At 42.1% G+C, this 24,385-nt stretch overlaps 1 protein-coding gene across 6 annotated transcripts in view, besides 1 other annotated feature; it reads left to right on the top strand.

The window, feature by feature from the left end:
- The window catches only part of GAREM1 (GRB2 associated regulator of MAPK1 subtype 1), a 207,361-nt gene that overhangs the window by 177,726 nt on the left and 5,250 nt on the right, over positions 1–24,385 (top strand). For 5 of the 6 annotated variants that reach the window (NM_022751.3, NM_001242409.2, XM_024451234.2 and 2 more), the window contains 2 exons: positions 4,954–6,126; positions 22,774–22,940. In NM_022751.3, the coding sequence (NP_073588.1) occupies positions 4,954–6,126; positions 22,774–22,940 (1,340 nt within the window). Of the gene's footprint in view, positions 1–4,953; positions 6,127–22,773; positions 22,941–23,120; positions 24,372–24,385 lie in introns of those variants that run through there. The other variant, XM_017025919.2, reaches the window with a different exon arrangement.
- Positions 10,900–11,492: an enhancer, noted in NCBI's record as "OCT4-NANOG-H3K27ac hESC enhancer chr18:29861628-29862220 (GRCh37/hg19 assembly coordinates)". NCBI's record gives its function as "activates a minimal SCP1, AML or CMV promoter by ChIP-STARR-seq in primed H9 embryonic stem cells {active_cell/tissue: H9 hESC(primed)}" and the evidence as "EXISTENCE:reporter gene assay evidence [ECO:0000049][PMID:30033119]".

Here is a 24,385-nt window from a genome sequence, read left to right as displayed (position 1 = left end):
GTGTGTGTGTGTCTGTGTGTCTATGTGTGTCTGTGTGTATAACTGCTGAAAAGTGTGAGTTAGTACAGATACCTCTAATTTCAATCCAAACCCCAAGGAGCTCTGTCTTGCCTTTCCTGGTCTTCTTCATTCCGTATTTCTGTCTCTCCTTCCAAAATGCAATCTCTGTAACTCGCAAGACATCAATATATTTAGCCATTCATTCAATCTTACAATACAAATAAATTTGACTCAGAGTTTCTCTACCCATATCCCTATGAAAAACAAATCTACCAAAAGGATCAGAATATTTATTGGTCTTTTTTTCCCTACTGGCATTATATGGTCAAAGTGTATTAGTCCATTCTCAAACTCCTATAAAGAACTGTTCAAGATTGGGTAATTTATAAAGCAAACAGATTTAATTGACTCACAGTTCTGCATGGCTGGGGAGGCCTCTGGAAACTTGCCCTCATGGAGAAAGGCACCTCTTCACAGGGCGACAGGAGAGAGAATGAGTGCCCAGCAATGTGGGAAGCCCCTTATAAAACCATGATATCTCGTGAGAACTCACTATCACGAGAACAGCTTGGGGGAAACCATCCCCATGATTCAATTATCTTCACCTGGTCCCGTCCTTGACAAGTGGGGATTATTACAATTCCAGGTGAGATTTGGTTGGGGTCACAGCCAAACCATATCAGACAGCATTCCAAAGGTACTTGGATTTTCTCTTTCCCCAGAATGGTTATTTTGTTGATTTAAAAAACAGTTGGATTTTGCATTTGTTTCCATTTGCATTCAGTTTTAAAATAACTTACATTAACAAGAAAAAAACAACCCCATCAAAAAGTGGGTGAAGGATATGAACAAACACTTCTCAAAAGAAGACATTTATGCAGCCAACAAACATATGAAAAAAAAAATCATCATCACTGGTCATTAGAGAAATGCAAATCAAAACCACAATGAGATACCATCTCATGCCAGTTAGAATGGCAGTCATTTAAAAATCAGGAAACAACAGATGCTGGAAAGGATGTGGAGAAATAGGAATGCTTTTACACTGTTGGTAGGAGTGTAAATTAGTTCAACCATTGTGGAAGACAGTGTGGTGATTCCTCAAGGATCTAGAACCAGAAATACCATTTGACCCAGCAATCCCATTACTGGGTATATACCCAAAGGATTATAAATCATTCTGCTATAAAGACAGATGCACATGTATATTTATTGCAGCACTGTTCACAATAGCAGAGACTTGGAGCCAACTCAAATGCCCATCAATGATAGACTGGATAAAGAAAATGTGGCAGATATATACCATGGAATACTATGCAGCCATAAAAAAGGATGAGTTCGTGTCCTTTGCAGAGACATGGATGAAGCTGGAAACTATCATTCTCAGCAAATTAACGCAGGAACAGAAAACCAAACACTGCATGTTCTGACTCATAAGTGGGAGTTAACAATGAGATCACATGGACACTGGGGGAACATCACACACCGGGGCCTGTTGGGGGGTGGGGGGCTAAGGGAGAGAAGATAGCATTAGGAGAAATACCTAATGTAAATGATGGTTTGATGGGTACTGCAAACCACCATGGCACTTGTATACCTACGTAATAAACCTGAACGTTCTGCACACATATCCCAGAACTTATAATAAAAAAAAAATTCTTGTTGACCTAATTTTTAAAATATGTAGCACATTAGTATACATCCTTGCAGTCAAAACTCTGTGGCAAGGTATACTCAGAAAGGTATCATTTCCTCCCTTGTCCCTAGCTCCAGTAAGTAACCAGTTTCATTGTTTTCTGTTTTTCCTTGTGCATGTTTTTGGTTTTTTTTTTTTTTTTTGGTAACAAAAATAAAAAGAAAATGTATATACTAATTTTTCCTTTCTTCTTAAACAAAAAAAAAGTATACTGTATAAACTTTTTTTGCACTTTATTTTTTTTTATTTAACAATATATTCTTGAAAGTCATTTCATATGCATTCCTTGGATTCATTATTCTCATTGTCTTTTGCATAGTACCAGGAAGTGTGTGTACCGTAGTTTATTCAGTCAGCCTCCTATATTTAAGCATTTAGATGAGTTCCAATATTTTGCAAAGACAAATAATGCTGCAGTGAATAACCTTATACATGTGTACTTTCATATTGTTGGAGGAATGTCTTCAGGGTAAATTCCTAGATGTAGGATTGCTGGATGGAGGGATAAATGCATATGTTATTTGACTTGATATTGCCAAATTCCCTGCCACACGGGTTGTATCATGCTGTATTCTCACCAGCTATGGACAAGGATGCTTTTTACCCCATAGCCTTACCAACTGAGTGTGATGTCAAGCTTCTGAATTTTTAATCAATATGTTAGGTAAGAAGTGGTATCTTAGTATAATTTTAATTGGCATTTCTCTTAGAGGAAAGAAGTTGAACATCTTTTCATAGGTTTGAAAGCCATTGTACATCTTGTTAGTTAATTGATTTTTCATGTATTTTGCCTATTTTTCTTTTTTTTTTTTTTTTTTCAGACAGTCTGTCTCTGTCACCCAGGCTGCAATGCAGTGGCACAATCTTGGCTCATTGCAACCTCTGCCTCCCGGGTTCAAGCGATTCTCCTGCCTCAGCCTCCAAAGTACCTGGGACTACAGTCACGTGCCACCATGCCCAGCTAATTTTTTTGTGTTTTTAATAGAGACAGGTTTCACCATGTCAGCCAGGATGGTCTCAGGTCCTTACTTTTAAAAAGCTGCTTGTATATTAGAGATATTAGCTCTTTATCTGTGATATGTTTTGCAGATATCTTCAGTCTGTCATTTGACTTTTGACTTTATTTCTCTTGTTTTCTGCCATCCACATACTTTTTGAGTCAGAATAAACACAAGTCAGGGCTTTTGTTATCAGATCTGAAAATATAAGATGAAGACACAAAAACAATATAGTTACAGTGGGAAAATAGAAAGGTCGCTAAGATAAATGGCCTGAAAATAAATGCAAATATAGGTATATATTTGAATGTATTTTATGAACTTAGTATATAATACTTTATATATTTTTAATTTATGATATAAAAGTATATAATATTAGTATACAGTAAAAGTGACACTGCAAATTAGTGATGAAAGGGATGACTCTTTAGGAAGTGCACTCAACACTCAGTTAACTTACACACACACACAAAAAAAAACCTACCTTAAATAAGCCACCAGAGTAAATACAGTTACATTCCCTGTTGGGCTAGTGGTTAGGATTCAAAAAATAGAGATACATAGCAAAGTATTAAAAGAAAACACTGGTAATTATACCAGCGTTTCTCAACCTCAGCACCACTGATATTTTTGCACTGGCTAATTCTTTGCTGTGGGGAGCTGTCCTGGGCATTATAGCATATTGAGCAGCTTCCCTGGCCTCTACCCACTAGATGCAAACAGCAGCTTCCCCAGTCATGGCAATCAAAGCTGTCTCCAAACATTGCCCCCTAGTGGGTATAGTCACCCCTGGTTCAGAATCATGAATCTATATCATCTCAGCTAGAAGCATAGCACCCAAGAATGAAATCACAAAGGAAAATTTTGAAAATATTGACTACATTTTAAAAAAAACAACTTTAATAGTTAAGCTATAAAATTGCAATTCAAACAACAAATGGAAGAATACATAGCACAAATGACATTTTCATTTACACAAAAAGTAATCAGTAAGAGATCTAAATAATTAGATAAATACTGAAAAATGAATATACCAATAAATATATTTAAAATATATTCAGCATGCATGCTTTACCTCTCATGCTGGTAAGCATGAAATAAACTTCAGTGTGAGTGTAGGGAGACATAATTTCATAAAGTGATAAAAGTATAAATAAGTATAACATTGATGAAAACACAGTGGGCAGTGCATATTAGACCTTTCAAATATATGCATATTAGCCAGGTGTGGTGGCTCACACCTGTAGTCTCAGATACTTGGGAGGGTTAGGTGGGAGGATTCCTTAAGCTTGGGAGGTCAAGGCTGCAGTGAGCTGTGATCATGCTGCTGCACTCCAGCCTGGGCAGCAAGATCCTGTCTTCAAAAACAAAACAAAACAAAACAAAAAAACAAATATATGCGTAGCTTTTGTCCCTGCAGTTTTTCTAGTACTTTATCCTAAGGAAATAATTGAGCTGTAAAAAAGTTCATTGCAGTACTATTTATAATTGCTAGACATTGGAAAAATCCATCTATATTTTTATTTTACAGTAAGGAACTAGTCAAATAATGCACATTCATACAAAATGGAATACATTAGGTTAGTATTACTATTGATGAAGGATATGCCCGGGGGAAATGGATACAGTTAGAAACTCAGGTAACAGAATTGTGTATATATGTATCTATTTGTATCTCTGAGATAGATGGATCAATTCTGTTTCTTTTTTCTATTTATATTTGACAGATTATCTTTAGTGATAAGATAGTATAGAAGTTCTTCATTTTTATATTTGTATTTTTAATATTTCTTCCAATTAAATAATGGATGTATAATTTTTTAAAAAATTGAGAAATACCACATTTTTAAGTTCTTTTTCTCAATTTCAAATTTTAAAAATTTAATAAAATTTTAAAAAGTAAAAAATTAAAATTTAAATAATAAAAAACAAGGAATTTTCTACATCAGCATTCATGAAAACATTTATAACTGCAAAAGAAAAAATGACAATATCCCTGTTAGTATCCATATGATAGATTACTCTGCATATATAGAGAAAAGAGATGTTTATAAGATTCTAAACTAATATCATCTTGAACAAATAGTAGTTATTGTTAATCACGTAAGTATAATAAAAGAAATGAGGTGTCTAAATTTAGTATTAAAGAAAAGCGCAGCATTTTCCTCTGTGTGTGTATTTGTGTGTGTCTTAATAGGAAGTTCTTTGCGTGAATAGATCAAAGGAAATGAACGTAAAATGTGATTTATTATATTGTAGGTTGCTTCAGGTGAATGCAATGAAGACACTGAAGTTTACAACATCACCCTGTGTACTGGGGATGAACTCACTCTAATGGGGCAGGCAGAAATCCTTTATGCAAAGACATTCAAGGAAAAGTCACGACTCAACACAATCTTCAAAAAGATTGGGAAGCTCAATTCCATCAGCAAGCTGGGAAAAGGCAAAATGCCGTGCCTCATTTGTATGAATCACCGGACCAACGAAAGCATTAGCCTTCCATTCCAGTGCAAGGGCAGATTTAGCACCCGAAGTCCCCTGGAACTTCAGATGCAAGAGGGCGAACACACCATCCGCAACATTGTGGAGAAAACCAGGCTTCCTGTGAATGTGACTGTGCCAAGCCCTCCACCGAGAAACCCATACGACCTCCACTTCATCCGTGAGGGGCACCGCTATAAGTTTGTGAACATCCAGACCAAGACGGTGGTGGTTTGCTGTGTGCTGCGGAACAACAAGATCCTCCCCATGCACTTTCCTTTGCACTTGACTGTCCCCAAGTTCAGCCTCCCAGAACACCTGGTGAAGGGAGAGAGCTGGCCCGAAACCCTGGTCCATCACTGGCTAGGTATCTGCCAAGAACAGTTCGACATCGATGAGTATTCACGGGCTGTCCGTGATGTGAAAACCGACTGGAATGAAGAATGCAAGAGCCCCAAGAAGGGTCGGTGCTCTGGCCACAACCACGTGCCCAATTCGCTCAGCTACGCCCGCGATGAGCTCACCCAGTCCTTCCACCGACTCTCGGTCTGTGTGTATGGCAACAATCTCCATGGCAACAGTGAGGTGAACCTTCATGGTTGCAGGGACCTGGGGGGAGATTGGGCTCCCTTTCCTCATGACATCCTGCCCTATCAGGACTCTGGAGATAGTGGGAGCGACTACCTTTTCCCAGAAGCTAGTGAAGAATCAGCAGGCATCCCGGGAAAGTCAGAACTTCCCTACGAAGAGCTGTGGCTGGAGGAAGGCAAGCCCAGCCATCAGCCTCTCACTCGCTCTCTGAGCGAGAAGAACAGATGTGATCAGTTTAGAGGTTCTGTCCGATCCAAATGTGCGACTTCTCCTCTTCCCATCCCTGGGACTCTGGGAGCAGCAGTGAAGTCTTCAGATACTGCCCTACCTCCACCTCCAGTGCCTCCCAAATCTGAAGCCGTAAGTCATTTCTGTTTTTGAATGCGGTGCCAGTCTTTCTGTCTCTCTGCTCAGTCATCCACTAATTTATTTTCTTAAAACTCCCCAACTGAAGATTGCAGAGTGAGCAAATTTGTTTAGTTTGGAGTGAGATACACATGCTAGCTTGATTATTTTGACCATTTAGGAATTAGAGTTTTACTCTATGTCTGATGAGAACCTCTTGGAGAGTTTTTAACAGGAGAGTTTTAAACATGACTTTTGCTGCTGCCCGGAGAATGGATAATAGGGAGGAGAGAGTAGAAGGTGGGAAGCAGAGAAGAGGCGACTGCATTAAGGTAGGTGCGAGGTGGTAAGGCCCTAAACCGTGGCAGCTGGTAGTGGCTGGCAGAGAGAGACGGCTGCTTCAGACTGTTTCATAGGTAAACCCAACAATATTTACTTGTGAGTTGGATGTCAGGCATGAAGAAAAGAGAGCAATCAAAGAAAACTCCTAGATTTTTAGCCTGGGCAACAGAATGGATATTAGTGTCATTTACTGTGATGGGGAAGACTGAAGGAGGAGTAAATTTATTTGGTGGTGGGAGGGGAAGCAGAGGAAAATCAAGAGGCAGTAGCCTCACTTATAACTCTTTCCTATATCCCTGAAGTTACACTGAGATCAAAGCATAGCGGATGTGCTAATGTATTATACACACACACACACACACACACACACACACACACACACTCCAGAACCAGGTGCCAGGGTAGTTCTATTTAACACCTTAAACATAACTCATTCAGAGCTTGATTCTAATGTAAAACTAAAATTTTGGTACAGTTCTGTTTAGAACAAGAGAAAGGGCCCTCTATTTTGACCATGTTCTTCAATTGGCAGCCACTCTGAACCTTTGCTACTCATTTTTGATCACTGAATTTCATTATCCCTGAGGGAGAAAGGGCTAGAGGTATTAAGTGTAATTCTATTAATTTATTTGACAGTATCTATTACAGTGGCTTTCTTTTTTCTATCTCTAGAAGAATCCTTTTTAAAAGAATTACATGAATCCCAATATATAGAAGAGTTCAAATCAAAACCTACCTGACCAAAGCACAGATTGTGGGGAAGGGGTCTTCCTTGGGTCCCTGCCCACTCTTTGCCCCTACCGGGTGATCTTAGGACACCTTTCTGGAACCCTGGGGCTATGCAGAACCGGGTTTTTAAAAACTATGGAATTACTAGGCTAGATGCTAGAAATACAATCATCAAGAAAACCTGGACTCTATCCCCTCGTACGTCTCAGTTTTACAGGGAAGGTAACAGATGAAAAGCAATGACTGTTAATACAAGTTAAAAGGTGATAAACAATAGGAAAACAAGAGAGAGATAATGTGTGGAGAATTCAGAAGAGACAGAGAAACTTCTAGTCGCGGGATGAATGAGAGGAGCCTCCATGGAGATTATGACATTTTAAATGAGTTTAGAAAATGTACCTGAATTGGAAGAGTAGAGAGATGAGAAAGAAGGACATTCCGGACAGAGCAGCATGAGCAACGAGCTGGAAGCTGGGGCAGCTTTAAGCATGTAAGAGGGAAAACAAGAAGTTCTGTGGGGCAGTTGAATAGGGCTGGATAGGGTGCAGGAAGGGCAGTGGTGGCTGAAAGGCTGGTGCCAGGGCATGGACAGCCCTGGGTGTCAGGCAGCAGTTTGTGCCAGGCTCCACGCTTAGCTGTCCATAAAGAGCCCTCATTGCTGCAGAGCTTTCCTGAGAGAGGACCCACCTCTGGCCCTCTGTTGCAGGGCTTGAGAGCTCCCCAGCAGCTACAGGTCTGGACTTGCCCTTGATCCTTACAGGATCCTCTGGGGACCATCAGGCACAAGCCCAGAGATCCCTGTATTCACTAAATATCATGGACTATTTGGGGAACTTAATGGTGGAGCCGGGGTCCTTGGCCCTTGGGTTTATGTCAGCAATTCCCTAAGAATGTTCATCAAAAGCCGGGTAAAAAGTAAGGGGGCGGGCCAGGCGCAGTGGCTCACACCTGTAATCCCAGCACTTTGGGAGGCCGAGGTGGGTGGATCATGAGGTCAGGAGATCGAGACCATCCTGGCTAACACGGTGAAACCCTGTCTCTACTAAAAATACAACAAATTAGCTGGGCGTGGTGGCGGGCGCCTGTAGTCCCAGCTACTCGGGAGGCTGACGCAGGAGAATGGCATGAACCCAGGAGGTGGAGCTTGCAGTGAGCCGAGATCCCGCCACTGCACTCCAGCCTGGGCGACAGAGCGAGACTGTCTCAAAAAAAAAAAAAAAAAGTAAGGGGGCACCCCTCCAAACAAGTACTCCTGGAACTTGAGGGATGTCTTAATTCAGCTATGTATTTCATGTTACTTGAAGGTTGGGGCTCTGACCTTCAATAGAAACATGACTGCATGAGCTTTTCCTATTGAACTTAGGTCCTACCTGGCACACAGTGGGGACTCATGTTTGCTGATTGACTTACAGACTCATCTGAGATGGTCACACCCAGGGTCATTTATGTAACCAAGTCTAGAGGTAGGAAACTAGCATCACTTGTTTTTTCTGTGGCTAATGAAAGATGAGTAAGAACATAAATATTAAGAGGTCCAGCTTTGCCCTTGGTACTAAAAAAGAAATGCTAAATTTGAAACTAAAAGCAAATCTCACAGAAGAAAAAAAAATTTGGCCTCCAGTCTAAGCTGTAACTTCTTATGACATAAGAGAATCTTTTCAGAGCGTGTCCAGTGTTTGTAGATTGCTATAAACCTAAAGATTTTTTATAAACACCTGAAATCATTTAATTTGTTTTTTTTAAAAAAATTAGGCATTTCAAATGAAGTCATATTTTTTATTGGTTCTGTGACCATGAAATGAATTTTCCATTTTTAGGATGTGCGTGGGATCCAGAGAACATCATAGTTGTTAGATGTGGCTTCAGCTTGTAATTTTCAAAAGGGAACTTTAATGGGGCATAAATTTAAGTGCTCCCACAGAATTAAGTAAAAGTTATTTGGATAGTTCCGGTGGAATGAGTCTTGGGAGAGAGATGTGCCATGTGTCCAGCCAACTATCCTACCCAGTAATTAAAGATGTTGGCTTCCCTTGAAAGTTCACCAGCTAGATATTAGCTGGGAAGGTGACATCTCTCACCAGGTCCTTAGAAATAGAAGGTGCCATGGCAGTCAAAGAAAGGGTGTCTTCCTCCCAAGTTGTGCTGCAGCTCTGGCATCCTCCGGGCTCTGCTCATCAGCCCTTTTCTGTTTGTATCTTAAACAGGGAAACTACATCGTGAGCCAACCAGAAAATCCTTGGGGGCAGAGTCATCCGTTTAATCCCATTCATGTATTTTGTTAATATATCTTGTATATTAACTTGCATTTGATGCTCTAGTCCTCTTGTATCTTTGTATTTGATGCTCTAGAATTGTATGCTCTAGTCCTCTTATCTCTTTGTAAAGATTGTTTAATAATTTTTTATGCTTTTTTTTGTTTTGTTTTTTTTGAGACAGAGTCTGGCTCTGTTGCCCAGGCAGGAGTGCAGTGCACGATCTTGGCTCACTGCAACCTCCGTCTCCCGGGTTCAAGTGATTCTCATGCCTCAGTCTCCCGAGAAGCTGGGATTACAGGCATGCGCTACCACATCTGGCTAATTTTTTTGTATTTTTAGTAGAGATGGGGTTTCACCATGTTGGCCAGGCTGGTCTTGAGCTCCTGACCTCAAGTGATCCACCCACCTCTGCCTCCCAAAGTGCTGGGGTTACAGGCATGAGCCTCTGCGCCCAGCCATGTTTAATAATTTTTTAAACAAAACACTGACACTAACCTCTCTGGAATATGAGAGGCCGTTCTCTTCCTCACGGGAATGTCCCAGGGAAAAGTAAACAGTTCCTGGTTCAAGAAATAGACAAGATGCAACCCCTAGAACTGTTGCAGCTGAGCCCAACTGAGGGAGCATGCCCAGTCTGGCATTTTCCCTTTTTAAAATTTTGCAAGGTGCCCCCAGATCAGAATGACCTGACAGTCCCTCTTAAGTGGATTATCCTTATTGATCCATGTGTTTATTCTAAACATATCCTCTATTTTATAATATTGCAGGCCTCTATTCATCAGTTAGATTCTCTGGTTATTGGCTGATATGTAAAATATTTACCCAGATGTACTCTACAAAAGGCAATCTTCAAGAGCAATCTTCTTTTCCCCCTCTTTAGAAAATGCCATTTTGGAGAGCAATGCTGGGAAGACTTTATATTGCACAAAATTCTATAAATAGATCATTTGACTTCCAGTCTGTTCTCGTCTATGCAATGAGTTACAAATGGTTATCAAAACTGCAGGGTTAGCCTGGCACCGTGGCTCACACCTGTAATCCCAGCACTTTGGGAAGCCGAGGTGGGCAGATCACTTGAGCTCAGGAGTTCAAGACCAGTTGGCCAACAGTGAGCTGAGATCGTGCCACTATACTCCAGCCTGGGTGACAGAGCAAGACTCAGTCTCAGAAAAACAAACAAACAAACAAAAACCCTGCAGGTTCACAGCTCTTCTAAAACCATTTGTGTGGCAGTGTCCTATCTGGGGACCCCAGCACCCAGTGATCAGTGTTCTCCATCTGTCTTCTTTTTTTTTTAGACGGAGTCTAACTCTGTCACCAGGCTGGAGCGCAGTGGTGCGATCTCGGCTCACTGCAACCTCCACCTCCTGGGTTCAAGCGATTCCCCTGCCTCAGCCTCCCAATGAGCTGGGACTACAGGCTCACGCCACCACGCCTGGCTAAGTTTTTTTAAATTTTATTTTGGTAGAGACGGGGTTTCACCATGTTGGCCAGGATGGTCTTTTTCATGCACGTCCGTGTGAAGAGACCACCAAACAGGCTTTGTGTGAGCAACATGGCTGTTTATTTCACCTGGGTGCAGGCGGGCTGAGTCCGAAAAGAGAGTCAGCGAAGGGAGATAGGGGTGGGGCCGTTTTATAGGATTTGGGAAGGTAATGGAAAAGGGGGTTGTCCTCTGGCGGGCAGGAGTGGGGGTCGCAAGGTGCTCAGTGGGGGTGCTTTTTGAGCCAGGATGAGCTAGGAAAAGGACTTTCACAAGGTAATGTCATCAGTTAAGGCAAGGACCGGCCATTTACACTTCTTTTGTGGTGGAATGTCATCAGTTAAGGTGGGGCAGGGCATATTCACTTCTTTTGTGATTCTTCGGTTACTTCAGGCCATCTGGGCATATACGTGCAAGTCACAGGGGATGCGATGGCTTGGCTTGGGCTCAGAGGGCTGACAGTCTTGATCTCCTGACCTCATGATCCACCTGCCTCAGCCTCCCAAAGTGCTGGGATTACAGGCATGAGCCACCGTGCCCGGCCTCCATCTGTCTTTAAGAACAGAAAAAAACACATTCCCTTATGGATAGTGGTTGATATTATAGCAATTCCTGGTAAAAGGAAAATGATAAAAGGAGCTCTTTTGTGAACCACTGGTTTCAACTAAATTTTACTGCAGTGTTGATGAATTTGTGAACCTTTGTGTTAGACAGGGTTGCCCCACAGCTTGTGAGAAACAGAGTTTAGGGACTAAGTTTTAAGATGGGTTGGTAACACGCATTCATTGTTAGAAGGCCGGAAGTTCATCATAAAGTTTCTTTAATGAAGCACACTGTGTTGTTGGTGTTTGAGAAAAATGGGACTTAAAGAGTAAATTTAATGCCAGATTGATGGGCCTAGCCTAGTAGGTGCTTGAAAAAAAACTGATTTAACTATAGAGAAGTCAGTTGGGCCATCTGAATCTGCCTCAGACAGGCAGAACACTCACTATGTGATAGATAATTAGAGGCGTGCAGCATTGCATCTGAGAGCTGCACATCGATTTCAATCCTCATGCTACCACTTTGTAGCTTCATACCTTGCACAAAATATTTAACCTCCCTGAGTCAGTTCCTGTGGGGATAATAACATCTTCACTGCATTTTTGTACTGTGCGAAGAACTTGGCACTTCTCCCTGGCACTCGGTAAACATTTAAAATAAATAGTAGCAATAATTTAATATAGGATGGATTCCAGTTTAGAGTCAGGTAGACAGTCACTGTTTAGAGGTTTTTTCCCACTGTCTTTCCTTGACTAAGGGATGGAGAGAAGAAGTCACACTTTCCAGGTACATAAGTCCCCTCCAAAGAGTCAGAAGGTGGGTGGGAGTGGACATATCCATCCCCACAGCAGATGGGCAGAGCCAGCTACCACGGGGGTCAGTCAGCCTCCCATTCCAGAAGTGGGTGTGCTAGTTCATTCTGCTGGGTTTCTAAGATATTACAAAAACACACAGTTGGTTTTAAAAATAGCAAAACATTCTTTTAATCTGACTTTTAAAACTTCTACTTGGTAAGATAGGTACTGTTTTAGTTACCTAACTGTGGAATCATCACAAACTTTGTAATCATCATATGCCCCCAAAAAGAGCTCCAGAAATGCTTGGCACCCTGTGGATCCCAATAGCATAATCTTTTAGTGGCAGAGTCGGGGGTTTTGAAGAACTAGAGTGCCTGTGAAAAAGCCACATGAGGCTCTAAGGCTGTGAACAAGTGTCAAGAAACTGGTATTCCCGGGCAAACCAACACAGAAATATCAAAGGTGAGAAGTGGCCTTGGATAACTGACTCCCTTCCTCGGGCTTGGCCAGGCCAGCTCCTGGTGCTGCCAGATCTCATTACTTTGGATATGCCCAGCCTACAGAATTAGGGGCCTCACGTGACTGCCCAAGTTAAGAAAGTGCCATAAAATATGTTTGTTGATAATAAGCTGTGGAAAGTAGCTAAGAATTGATTGTACTCTGCATTTTTATTTTATTTTGTCTTTGGGCTTTTTCTCTCTGTAAAATATTAATATTAGAAAAGGTATTGACAGACAGATTTTCTTAAATCTGATGTATTAATATTTAAGCTTAGTGATTATTTACTTTTCCAAATAACTGCTCTACAAAAAGATATACTCAGGATTCCACTAGTTAATGAGGTTTCGTAGGGCATTTGACATTTAATTAATTTTAATTACAAGCTTTGAGGAGTACTTTGTAAGCAAGCCATACCTAAGTTCCCATTTGTTAATTGAAATAAGGACTAAATTATTATTGTGTTTTGATAACTTTGAAACTAATTGCCATTCTGTTTCATGTAGGTTCTTTTTAAATGAAAGCTTCTAGGCCAAGATTTGTTTTTTTCTTCTTCTGTGTCTATTGAAAATCTTAATGATTAGAATGATAATAAGGATATAATATCCAATTGCCACAGTCCCCAACCTTTTTGGCACCAGGGACCAGTTTCATGAAAGACAATTTTTCCACGGACCTGGCGTTGGGGGAGGGAGTGGTTTCGGGATGACTCAAGTGTATTGCATTTATTGTACACTTTATTTCTATTATTATTACATTGTAATATATAATGAAATAATTATACAACTCACCATAATGTAGAATCAGTGGGAGCCCTGAGCTTGTTTTCCTGCAACTGGATGGTCCTATCTGGGGGTGATGGGAGACAGTGACAGATCATCAGGCATTAGATTCTCATAAGGAATACGCAACCTAGATTCTCATAAGGAACGTGCAAAGATCCCTCACATGTGCAGTTCACAATAGGGTTCATGCTCCTATGAGAATCTAATGCTGCCACTGATCTCACAGGAGCTGGAGCTGGGGCAGTAATCCAAGGGATGGAGAGCAGCTGTAAATACAGATGAAGCTTCACTGGCTCACTTGCCAGCTGCTCGCCTCCTGCTGTGCAGCCTGGTTCCTGTCAGGCTACAGACCAGTATCAGTCCATATCCCAAAAGTTGGGGACCCTGTTCTATTGGATAAGTCTTGTTCCAAACCTGTACAATTAGGTATATACCATTTGTATAAAATCACATTAATAGGAAGGTTATACACTACTTAAGTATATTTATCACGTACACTCCTTGCTCAGGAAAGATCTTTATTCTACTCCTCAATGGCATATACTTTCTGAGTCCATGAAAGCACCCTAAATGTTAAACAAGTACATCTTTTCAGAACCACTTGCCCCTCCTGCCACTGAGTAAGTGGCTGCCCGCTCCTTCCCCTGGGCCTCCCTTGCCTGAGGCTGGAATATTGGAGACCATTTCTGAGAAAGGTCTGTCTTAGGTCCTTATCATCAATGTATAAAAATGGAAAAAAGAAGCTCACGCATCTAAGAATCAGGATTTTGACTGTAAATCACATTTGCCCTTGTGTAATTAATCAAATAGAGGTTCATTTATTGTACTTTGTCATTATAAAACTTTAATTTCTGTTTGACTGAAAATATCCGCTGATGGTTATGTGACAGGGTTATGAACTCTGTATAAAAGCCTCTTTATAAATAAGGTTTCTTAACGGCTGTAATGATTTTGTTATCTGGGAGTGTGGGAAGAAATGTAAAATACAGGGCAGAGGGCAGTCAGTGAAGGCAAAGTTACAAAGTTCAAGGAAGCATGGTTACAAAACTCCTTTCTTTGGGTTGCTGACATTGTCCTGCATTTGGCTTTTTAGGGAAGAAAATGCACAAGAAAGGTGAATCTCATTTTAAATCAAGCTCCCCTACAGTGTATGTATTTTCTTAATCATTGTCAATATGGAAACAAAACGATCCTTACACCACCTAAGTATGCCAAAATCTCCTTATTGATTGTCCACAATTCCAAACAATATGAACTTTGAGACAGGAGGTATACTCTCTCCCCCACGCCCCTGCCAGGCATGTGACAGTTGATTCTAGAAGGTTAACTCAGGAAATACATGGCCCTGTCAGCAGATGTCCCTAGATCCATCATCTTGTATGTAAGAGTTGAGCACCCACCACTGCTCTGAAATTGATTTTTTTCCCAAAAGGCTATCTGAAAACTGCTAAGACCATGCCTTAGTTAACTGTCCTTTTACGTTTCTTAAGCTCTTTGGTCCTGTTAGTGACTGCATGTGAAAGTTCTGTTTCCTCCACAGAACAGAGGAGTCAGAAGTTGTGAAAAACAAAGGCTTTCCAAGAAATGCTGTTGTACCAAAAAGCCCCCAGTCTTAGACATATTGTTTCATAAACCCCTAGGAAGTATCAGAGAAAGAGGTGTAACAGGAGAAAGAAATTATTTCATAGATACTATGTAGAAAGCACTCCAATTGTATGTATGTTTCAGTTTTTGTCCTCCAAAGATCTACATGTAACTCTGCTTTCCACTCATGCAATGATGAGCTTCCTACTGTTAACAAATTCTCGTGCATTATTTTCAACATGTTGCAATTTAGAGGAGACAAATTACTGATCCTTGACCTGTGCTCAATTCCCTCCCAACTAAGCAAGAGTTAGAACTGTAAGGAGAGAAGGGAAAAGAAGGTTAAATGTCTATTCCAGGACTCAGGAAATGACGTTAAGCTCCCTGGGCAGTATTCTGAAAGTAAAGAAAATAGTTCCATTTTATGATGTGTTTGATTTGGACCATAGATTGGAGTTGCACTTGACTTTGTTGACCACTTCCACTTAGAAACATGAAGCTTTCCAAAGCATTTGTTCTATTAGTGTGTTTCATCTTTGCTTTCACTGTTAAGATGATATGCTACCATTAATTTATTTTTCTAGCTTTATGTGGCCAGTGATGGCATGACAGAGGCAGGGAGCAATGGAAAAATGGTCTCCCCTTTATCTTCTTAAATTAAAGGTGAGCACAGGGTCCCAGGCATCAGTGTACAGTTGACCTCCAGCTTACATGCATGCATATACGTACCCAGGCACATTTTTTCAAGTTTCTTTAAAGTTTTTTTTTAAAAGGCATGCCTTCTTCAAACCAGTATCCTTTTGTAACAACTGCCTCACTCCTTTCTTTCCAGACAATTCCTGAGAAGAGTGATCTGCCCTCACGAACACCACTCTTACCTCCTGTCTAACTTTGACTCACTAGAGTCTGGCTCTGCCCCCTCACTTGACTCACGCCTCATTTGCTAAGATCACCAGTGACTTGCTAGCTGTCACATAAGGGGAACCTCTTCCAGCCTCTTTCCTGACTTCCTGACATCTCTCCATCTTTGCACTGTTGTTCCCCTGCAGCTCTCCCTCCCTTGGCTTCCTTGACGCCATTCAGGCATGATTCTGCTCTGTGAGCACTAAAGTGTAGTTACCTGTTTTTCCCCTCCTGTCTTCTCTTCTGCCCATCCTTTGGGGGTTCAGCCTTCTTCACTTCTCATCTGGGATCTCAGTGCCGCCATAACTTCAGATTCTATCTATCATTAGAACACTGAGCTCAAAGTTAGTATTTTCAAAACTGACCTCCTCTGCTTTTCCCAAGCCCTGTTCTTCTAAATTTCTATCTGATGAATGGTACCAGTGTTTTGTTTCATCATCTAAGCCCACAGACCAGATCATCATTCTGGTTCTTCTTTTATGCCATGTTCTTCTATGTTCTACCTTTTGTACACTCATAATCCCTCCTAAGACTTTCTCAGTAAAATTACCTATGAATTTGTTCTTCTCCTGCCACCTTGAGTAAATTTATGGTGCTCCCATGAACCTTGCACATACTTGTCTTATCACACTTACCAGATTGTATTTTAATTATGTTTGTTTCCCTCCCTCATAAGTAATTCCATGAGTTACTCACTGTTGTATACTCAACACTAACTCAATGAGCACATGATAGGCACTCAATCTATTTGAACAAATAGCAAAGTGGAATTAATAGAGGCTGTAGGAAAAGAGAAGTGATAGCCATGTTGTTCAGACTTTCAGGGATGGTGGAAGTCGATGCTTGTGATCCCGGCCATCAGCCCCCAGGACAGACACCTTTTACAGCTTGCTTTAAGCCCCCATTATTAGATTATTTCAGTTGTCTGAATATGCCTTTCTAGAAATATGCCTCATTGACTAAAGAGGATGAAGTTCGAGAAAGAACAGAACTCACCGTTTCTACCTCTTTAATAAATGAGCTTTCTGTTTAGCTCTGCATTCCTGATTTGCAATGTGAATACCAAGGAGACTTGTATCAACACCAGAGTAGTGGTGTCTCATGTTTGATGATAATTGAAACACTGAACATTTTAGAAAAGAGACAGACTTAGGCCAGGCACGGTGGCTCACGCCTGTAATCCCAGCACTTTGGGAGGCCGAGGCGGGCGAATCACCTGAGGTCAGGAGTCTGAGACCAGCCTCAACATGGAGAAACCCCATCTCTACTAAAAATACAAAATTAGCCAGGCGTGGTGGTACATGCTTGTAATCCCAGCTACTCGGGAGGCTGAGGCAGGAGAATTGCTTGAACCTGGGAGGCGGAGGTTGCGGTGAGCTGAGATCGCGCCATTGCACTCCAGCCTGGGCAACAAGAGCAAAACTCAGTCTCAAAAAAAAAGAGATAGACTTACTCTGAAGGAGCAGGAGGAGAGAAGTATGCTAGCGGTGGGGCAGCTGGGAAGAAAAGCTTTAGGCCGGGGAATTGCTCAGGAAGCGAGGCTTTGGGTACTCCGTGTATCCGCACTGTGCTCATTGACCCTGTCATCAACAGGACTTTGGTTCCAGGAGTTTCTCTGTGAATAGTCAAGGTACTCATAACCTGAAATTAACTACACATAGGCAGAGATCACCGTCATCTGCAATGGACGGTAACACCCACCTCAAAACAGAACGCCAGCTCTTCACTGAGCGTGAGGGTTGGAGGTTCATTCCTGATAATACAGGGGCCCCTCTCTCCTTGTGTTGCCAGTGGAAGTCCAGTCATAAACATTACATTGGAAATAAATAGAAAGGCTTTAGTCCATTAGGCACAGTATAGTCCTTTAGATCTTCATTTTAGAATAGTCATTACTCTGGGGTGTGCTAGATTAAAGCCACAGCGCTTCCTAGTTCAGGAATACTGTCACTGTCATTTTCACCATGACACTGTGTCAAAGGGTGGTGGTAGAGTTGGTGGTGGTCATATGTGGCAGGTCTTCTGGTGCCTTTTTTTCCCCTAGATTGACTCAGGGTCACCAAAAAAACTTAACATTCAGCCCAAATGACTTGTCAGTAATAATTTCCACATAAACATATAAAAGATATTCTATGGTATATGGGTTTTTTTAAGTGCCTTTTTTTTTTTTTGTATTTTTTGTGACATTTCTTAACACCTACCAGGCATTCTGTGTGACATGTTCATGCCAGGAGTGACAAATCCCCAAACTCTGCTATCCCCAGGATAGTAATAACAAGGGATAGCTAAAATGGCAGTCCCTACATTTTAGCTCGCAGGCTCATTAAATATAGATGGAGAGTGGCACACAGAGTGTGTAATGTGTGGGGCTGGCCCACAGGAACTGGTGTTTAGGTGTGGTGGGCAGTAAAAACTAAACCAGAGAAAGGGGCAGGAAAGCACAGGGTGTGCTGGGGGGACACTGAGTCCACCACTTTGCATGGACCTGCGTGCCCATATAGACTAGGAGCAGTGGGAGAGATTGCTAGAAAGATGCGTGGGAGCCTGGTCGCACAGAGCCTTGGGTGGCAGGCAGGGGAGGCCAGCCTTTATCCAGGAATCAGAGGGAGCCGTCGGAGACAGCGAGTAACATGATGAGAGCCACATGCTGAGGCTTCCAGAAGGGATGTGCTGAAAATGTTACACTTAAAAGCTAAATTGAATATGAAGGAAAACTGGAGATAGGGTGATTGACCGTCTAGTCTTAAAAATTGCCTTTTATTGACAGATAAAATTCATCTAAAGCACAGCTACCTTCCTCCTGGATATAAATATCCTGCATGAATCAAATCAAGAAGCAAAGAGTAATAGAACTGTTACTGTTCTAAGAGTAAGAGATAGGAACTAAGATGGTACAATAAGCCCTCACTCTGTCACTTCTGAATCCCAGAACGCATACAGCCCACCATAGCATGTAATTCTTCCCTTAAGATGCAGAGAAATAGGCCATCATCGGAGCGGCCACCCATGCAGCAACAAGTTGAAAATAATAATGCCACTTGGAGATGTGTCTGTGGAGTCCTCAGCTGTGCCCACCTGCCGTGGGCTGCCCCTCACCTGCCTGGCGTAGTGCAAGCCACTCACTCTGTGCCTCAACAGAATGACACTCAAAATTCTTGTCATGAATGGAGTACCTTTAAAGTCATCCTTTAAAACAACAACAACAACAAAACACCTTTCTCTAAAGTGAGTTTCAAGTAAACCTAATTCTTTTACCTTGACCTCACATAACAACACCCAGACTGCCCTCCCATCACAACAGAAAAAAATCCCTGGCCTCATATTCTTGTTTCATCACTGACAACTTCCCATCTCCTAAAAGTAAGAATCAGTTTGTTTCTCTCTCTCTCTCTCTTTCTTTCTCTCTCTCTCTCTCACACACACACATTAGTTCTTTAACTCCCTTCAGGAGTCATGTGGCCACCCCAAAAGCTCTATGTGTCTCAAATTCTGTCTTGAGCATCAACCATAAACACTCCCAGTTGGCCCTGGCTACCTCCTCACCAGGCCCTTTAGCTTAGAAATGCTTCTCTTCACTACTGCCCTCTCCTCACCATTGTGGGAAACCTATTAGCCCTTCAGGAGTCCCTAGTTTTGAAGGTGGCAGAACCAGCTCTAAGTGACCTTGGGTACCTGGGGTTGATTATAAGTACAGGAAGAGGGGAGTTCGGGAGTTCCTTTAGGTCAAATTCAACTACAAGTGGCTTCTTTTCTGAGTTTATAAACCTAAGTCAGCCAACTATTGTAAATTAAAATGCATATTGTAATTGACATCTGAGCATATTATAATTGACATCCCAGGTAAGTGTTTCCTAATGAAACGTCATATTTAGTGGCTAATTCTAAAATTTTGAAAGTGCTAAATTGAATCCAGCATTAACCATGTTTTCCTCATGTTCCACTCTAATCCAATATTGGGAAGTAGCTAAGTATTTATTTTAAAATTGAAAAGTTAACTGACAGAGTCCTTATCGTCTCACATTTTCCATGCGCCCTATTTCTATAAACATAAATAGAACCAAGCACATCTGTAATAAAGTGACAGCCATCCACCCTAAATTCTATAGATATTCCCTAAGAAAGAAACACATCTGGCTACCGTGCAGTTCACTAACAAGACAGAAGGAAGATGAACCAAAGCCAGAAAGCGGGGTGGCCCAGCCTGAGCTCCGGCATCCTGGTTGGTTCTCAGCCTCTTAAGAAGACCCGCCTGGCTAAGGAGGGTGGATCACCTGAGGTCAGCAGTTCGAGACCAGCCTGGCCAGCATGGCGAAACCCCCTTTCTACTAAAAATACAAAATTAGCTGGGTGTGGTGGCGCATGCCTGTGATCCCAGCTACTCAGGAGGCTGAGGCAGCAGAATCGCTGGAACCTGGGAGGCGGAGGTTGCAATGAGCCAAGATCATGCCATTGCACGCCAGCCTAGGCAACAAGAGTGAAACTCCGTCTCCAAAAAAAAAAAAGACCCCAGAATGGTGCAAGGGTCTTTCCTGGGCCAGCCCAGCCAAGCATTCCTCTCACGTGATTATCCAAACTTCATTTCCTCCCGGGCATCCTTTCTGCAGTCATCCACCACCTTTTTAAAAGCTCACAAGGGGAAAGCCTGCGTCTATTGTGGAAGAAATCTGCTGCTCCGAATATTTTCTTTTAGTCTAAAGAGCTTCTCCAGATGAAACCGTTCCCTTTCACCAACCCACTGGGCCCCAGTAACCAGGGCTGTGGGTCCTGCAGGTAGGAGCAGTGATCCCCAGCCCCGGGAAGAAATGCAGTTGATAAGACTTTTTAAATTGCTTCCATTTCATTTAGAGTTGGGTTTACTGGGCTACCCATAGCCATGAGTCTTCTTAATGGCTGGTTTTCTCTGGCAAGTGAATCAGGCCAGGGATGCGAGGTAGAGGTCCCGGGTGTGGTGTAGATAGTAGGAGATGCAGTGTGATAACATGAACCCATTTCATTTCCGCTTAAGCAAACTCAATACCAAAGCTAATAGGAGCTTGCTGTTTCATTGTCTTATCCCAGAGCTGCTTGGCCAGAAAGGAATTGAAAGTGAAGGTGAAAAACTTGGTGGGAACATAGCCTAAAAGTAGACAAGGTATGCATTTCAAAGCATAGCATTTTTGACAGAGTCAGAATTGGCTCTGTTAATATTTTTACCTCTATAGCTTAGGGTAGACTAGCAGAGCCAGGTATAAACTGCCCCCTGCTGCCTGACACGTAGAAGTACATGAAAAATGTCACTTCATTAGTAATTATATTCTGAAATGCCTGCAAGGAATGGAAGGCAAATTAGGGGAATGGCAGGCAGTCTCAGAGAAGCCATGGACAGCACAGATCAGCTAGATCCTCTCCAGTGTGAAGACGAAGGAAATGTGAGAGAGCTGGAAGCAGCTCTTATAAAAAGTACTTTTTGGATGTAGAGAGCCGCTTCATTACTCCTTCTGCAGCCTTGTCAGTGTGTGGACCATGGTCAGGTAGCATCAGTATCACCTAGGAACTTGTTAGAAATGCAGATTCCCAGGCCCCACCCTGGGTCAACAGAATCAAAACCTGCATTTTAAACAAGATCCCTAGATGATACACACTCATATTTACATTTGAGAAGCCCTTGCCTGGCTCAATGTCTCATACCTGTAATCCCAGCACTGTGGGAGGCCCAGGCAAGTAGATGCAAGGAGTTCAAGACCAGCCTGGCCAACATCGTCAAACCCCGACTCTACTAAAAATACAAAAATTAGCCGGGCATGATGGCAGGCGCCTGTAATCCCAGCTGCTCAGGAGGCTGAGGCAGGAGAATTGCTTGAACTCGGGAAGCAGAGGTTGCAGTGAGCCAAGATGGTGCCGCTGCACTCCAACATGGGCAACAGAGCAAGACTCAGTCTTGAAAAATAAAAAAAATAAATTAAAAAAATTAAAAAGTAGCCCTGGCCAGGAACGGTGGCTCATGCCTATAATCCCAATGCTTTGGGAGGCAGCCTGAGCAACATGGTGAAACTTCATCTCTACTAAAAATACAAAAAATTAGTCAGGTGTACTGGCGCACACCTGTGGTCCCACCTCTCGGGAAGCTGAGGTGGGAGGATCACCTGAGCCCAGGAAGCAGAGGTTGCAGTGAGCTGAGCTGAGATTGTGCCATTGCATTCCAACCTGCGCGACAGAGTGAGACTCCATCTCAAAAAAAAAAAAAAAAAAAAAACATCCCTGAACATGACTTCAGAAGGAGCTTTAGCTCTGGACCAGGTCCAGGGTTCTCTAAGGTTTGGATCAAATTGAATTCAGCTTGAACAATGAAAAAAACACAACCTAATAGAAGAGATGAATCCTCAAGTTAAATTTGTGAATGCCTTACGTTCTTATTTTCTTAATACTTCCTCTTTATCCATCCTCACATGTCACTAGCTCTTTAACCATAGACACTTTAACTTGCCGTATTTCATATTACTTTCTATATTTCAGCAGCAGCCAGCATTTGCCAAGCAGTTTCTTTCAAAAATCATTCTGTCCCAGCAAGTGTGTGACAGGCGCCTGATTTGCTCTCTGGCAGCCTCTGTGCTTCCTATCATTCTTGTTTACTTCAATCTTCTCTCTGCCATGCTTACACCCTGCTGTTACGGTTTAAGAGTGTGACTTGAGCAAGTCTTCAGGATTGAGCTGGCGCCCCGTGGCATTGTCAGTCTGTTGCTAACCTGGAGTGTTCTTTTCTGCGCCAGGTCAGAGAAGAATGCCGGCTCCTGAACGCCCCACCTGTTCCACCCCGAAGCGCAAAGCCTTTGTCCACCAGTCCCTCCATCCCTCCTCGCACAGTCAAGCCAGCGCGGCAACAGACTCGCTCTCCCAGCCCCACCTTGTCCTACTATTCTTCAGGGCTACACAACATGTAAGTCTTCCTGCCAGGTCCCACTGCACGCTTATCTTCTCATCCACCAGTTCATGGGTTCTTGAAAGCATTTTCACGGTAGCCCTAACAGGCAGGGTGGTGGGAGAGGAAATGGCTTTTTAATTTTCTAAATAATTTTACTGAGTGAGCATGATGGGGCCCCTGTTTGTTTCGAGCTAGAATGGAAGAGCCAATGTCTTGGGAAGAAAAGATGCCACACCAGTCTGAGAAATTCAGAGGTAAAGGCCAACTAGATTCTCCTGGAAACAACCCGGGGGCTGCCATCAGTTCTCACAAGTCAGCATCTGGTTCTTTCCACTTTGACACGAGCAGACAGCACCTTCAAGCAGACAACACCTTCGACCAGGACCTAAAATGGAAAGGGTCCCATTGGCTATCTACTCTGAATTTCCATCCAGACAGGAGTCCCCTTTTGACCATCACTGTTGAGTGGTCATTTCCTTTTGTCTGGATACTTCCAGTGCTCTGAGATCATTCTTCTGCAACACAGCTCATTCCATTGTTGGCAAGTACCAATACTTAAAAAAAAACACCCTTTATTATATTGAGTTGAAATCAACCTCTGTGTAACTTTCAATCATTTCTTAGGTCTAAAGAAACAAAAATAGGTCCATCCCATATCTCTTTGTCAACTCATGAAAATTCCGAGTCAGCTATGATAGAAGTCTTCTCTTCTCCAAAAGAAACATCCTTGCGTCCCTCTACTGTTTCCCCGACATCACTGTCAGACCCCTCACCGGCCTGCTCACCCTCCTTTGAGCACACTCTAGTTTCATGTTGCTCTTAAAACCCCCCAGAGCCTAAGCTACCGCTCCACATGTGCTCATTACAGTTTAAAGTAGCTCTCTTTGCAGGTACTTTTTGTTCTCTGGACATTTAAATCTTTGCGCTAATGTTACTCGATTGTTCAGAAACTAAGACAAGGATAAACATTTTATTTGAAGGATTTCCTCCTGCCTCAGACTTTTGGGTGGAAATAGAGTCACGGGTGGTGTGATGCCATCATGTCACTGTAGCACAAGCATGGCAAGCATGCGCCACTCATTTACTATTCTCTCCTTCTACCCTCGCTCACTGCAGACATCATTCATCAATCATGGCACCTGTTGGTGCAGAGCCTACACGTGACTTAATAATTTTCCTCATCATAAAGATCCAGGCACCTATTAACAATTATTTTCTTACTAGCTGAAATATTTATTTTATCTCCACTGTAGCATTTTAAATCATTATGTACATATCTACAATTACCAATGTATTTTATTAAAGATTCTTTAAAAAAAAAACCCAGTGAAGTTAGCAGGAATTTTATTGAATTCAAAACTAACTGCGCTTTTCTACTCAGCAGTAACGTCTATAAATAACAAAAGCCTTGGGATTTGGCTTTTTTCTTTTAACTGATTTCTCCTTCTGTGTTTGCTTTT

Source organism: Homo sapiens, chromosome 18 (genome assembly GCF_000001405.40).
Source record: "Homo sapiens chromosome 18, GRCh38.p14 Primary Assembly".
Taxonomy (NCBI): domain Eukaryota; kingdom Metazoa; phylum Chordata; class Mammalia; order Primates; family Hominidae; genus Homo; species Homo sapiens.
Note: the sequence above shows the minus strand (reverse complement) of the source record. Positions and strands in the feature narration are given on the sequence as shown.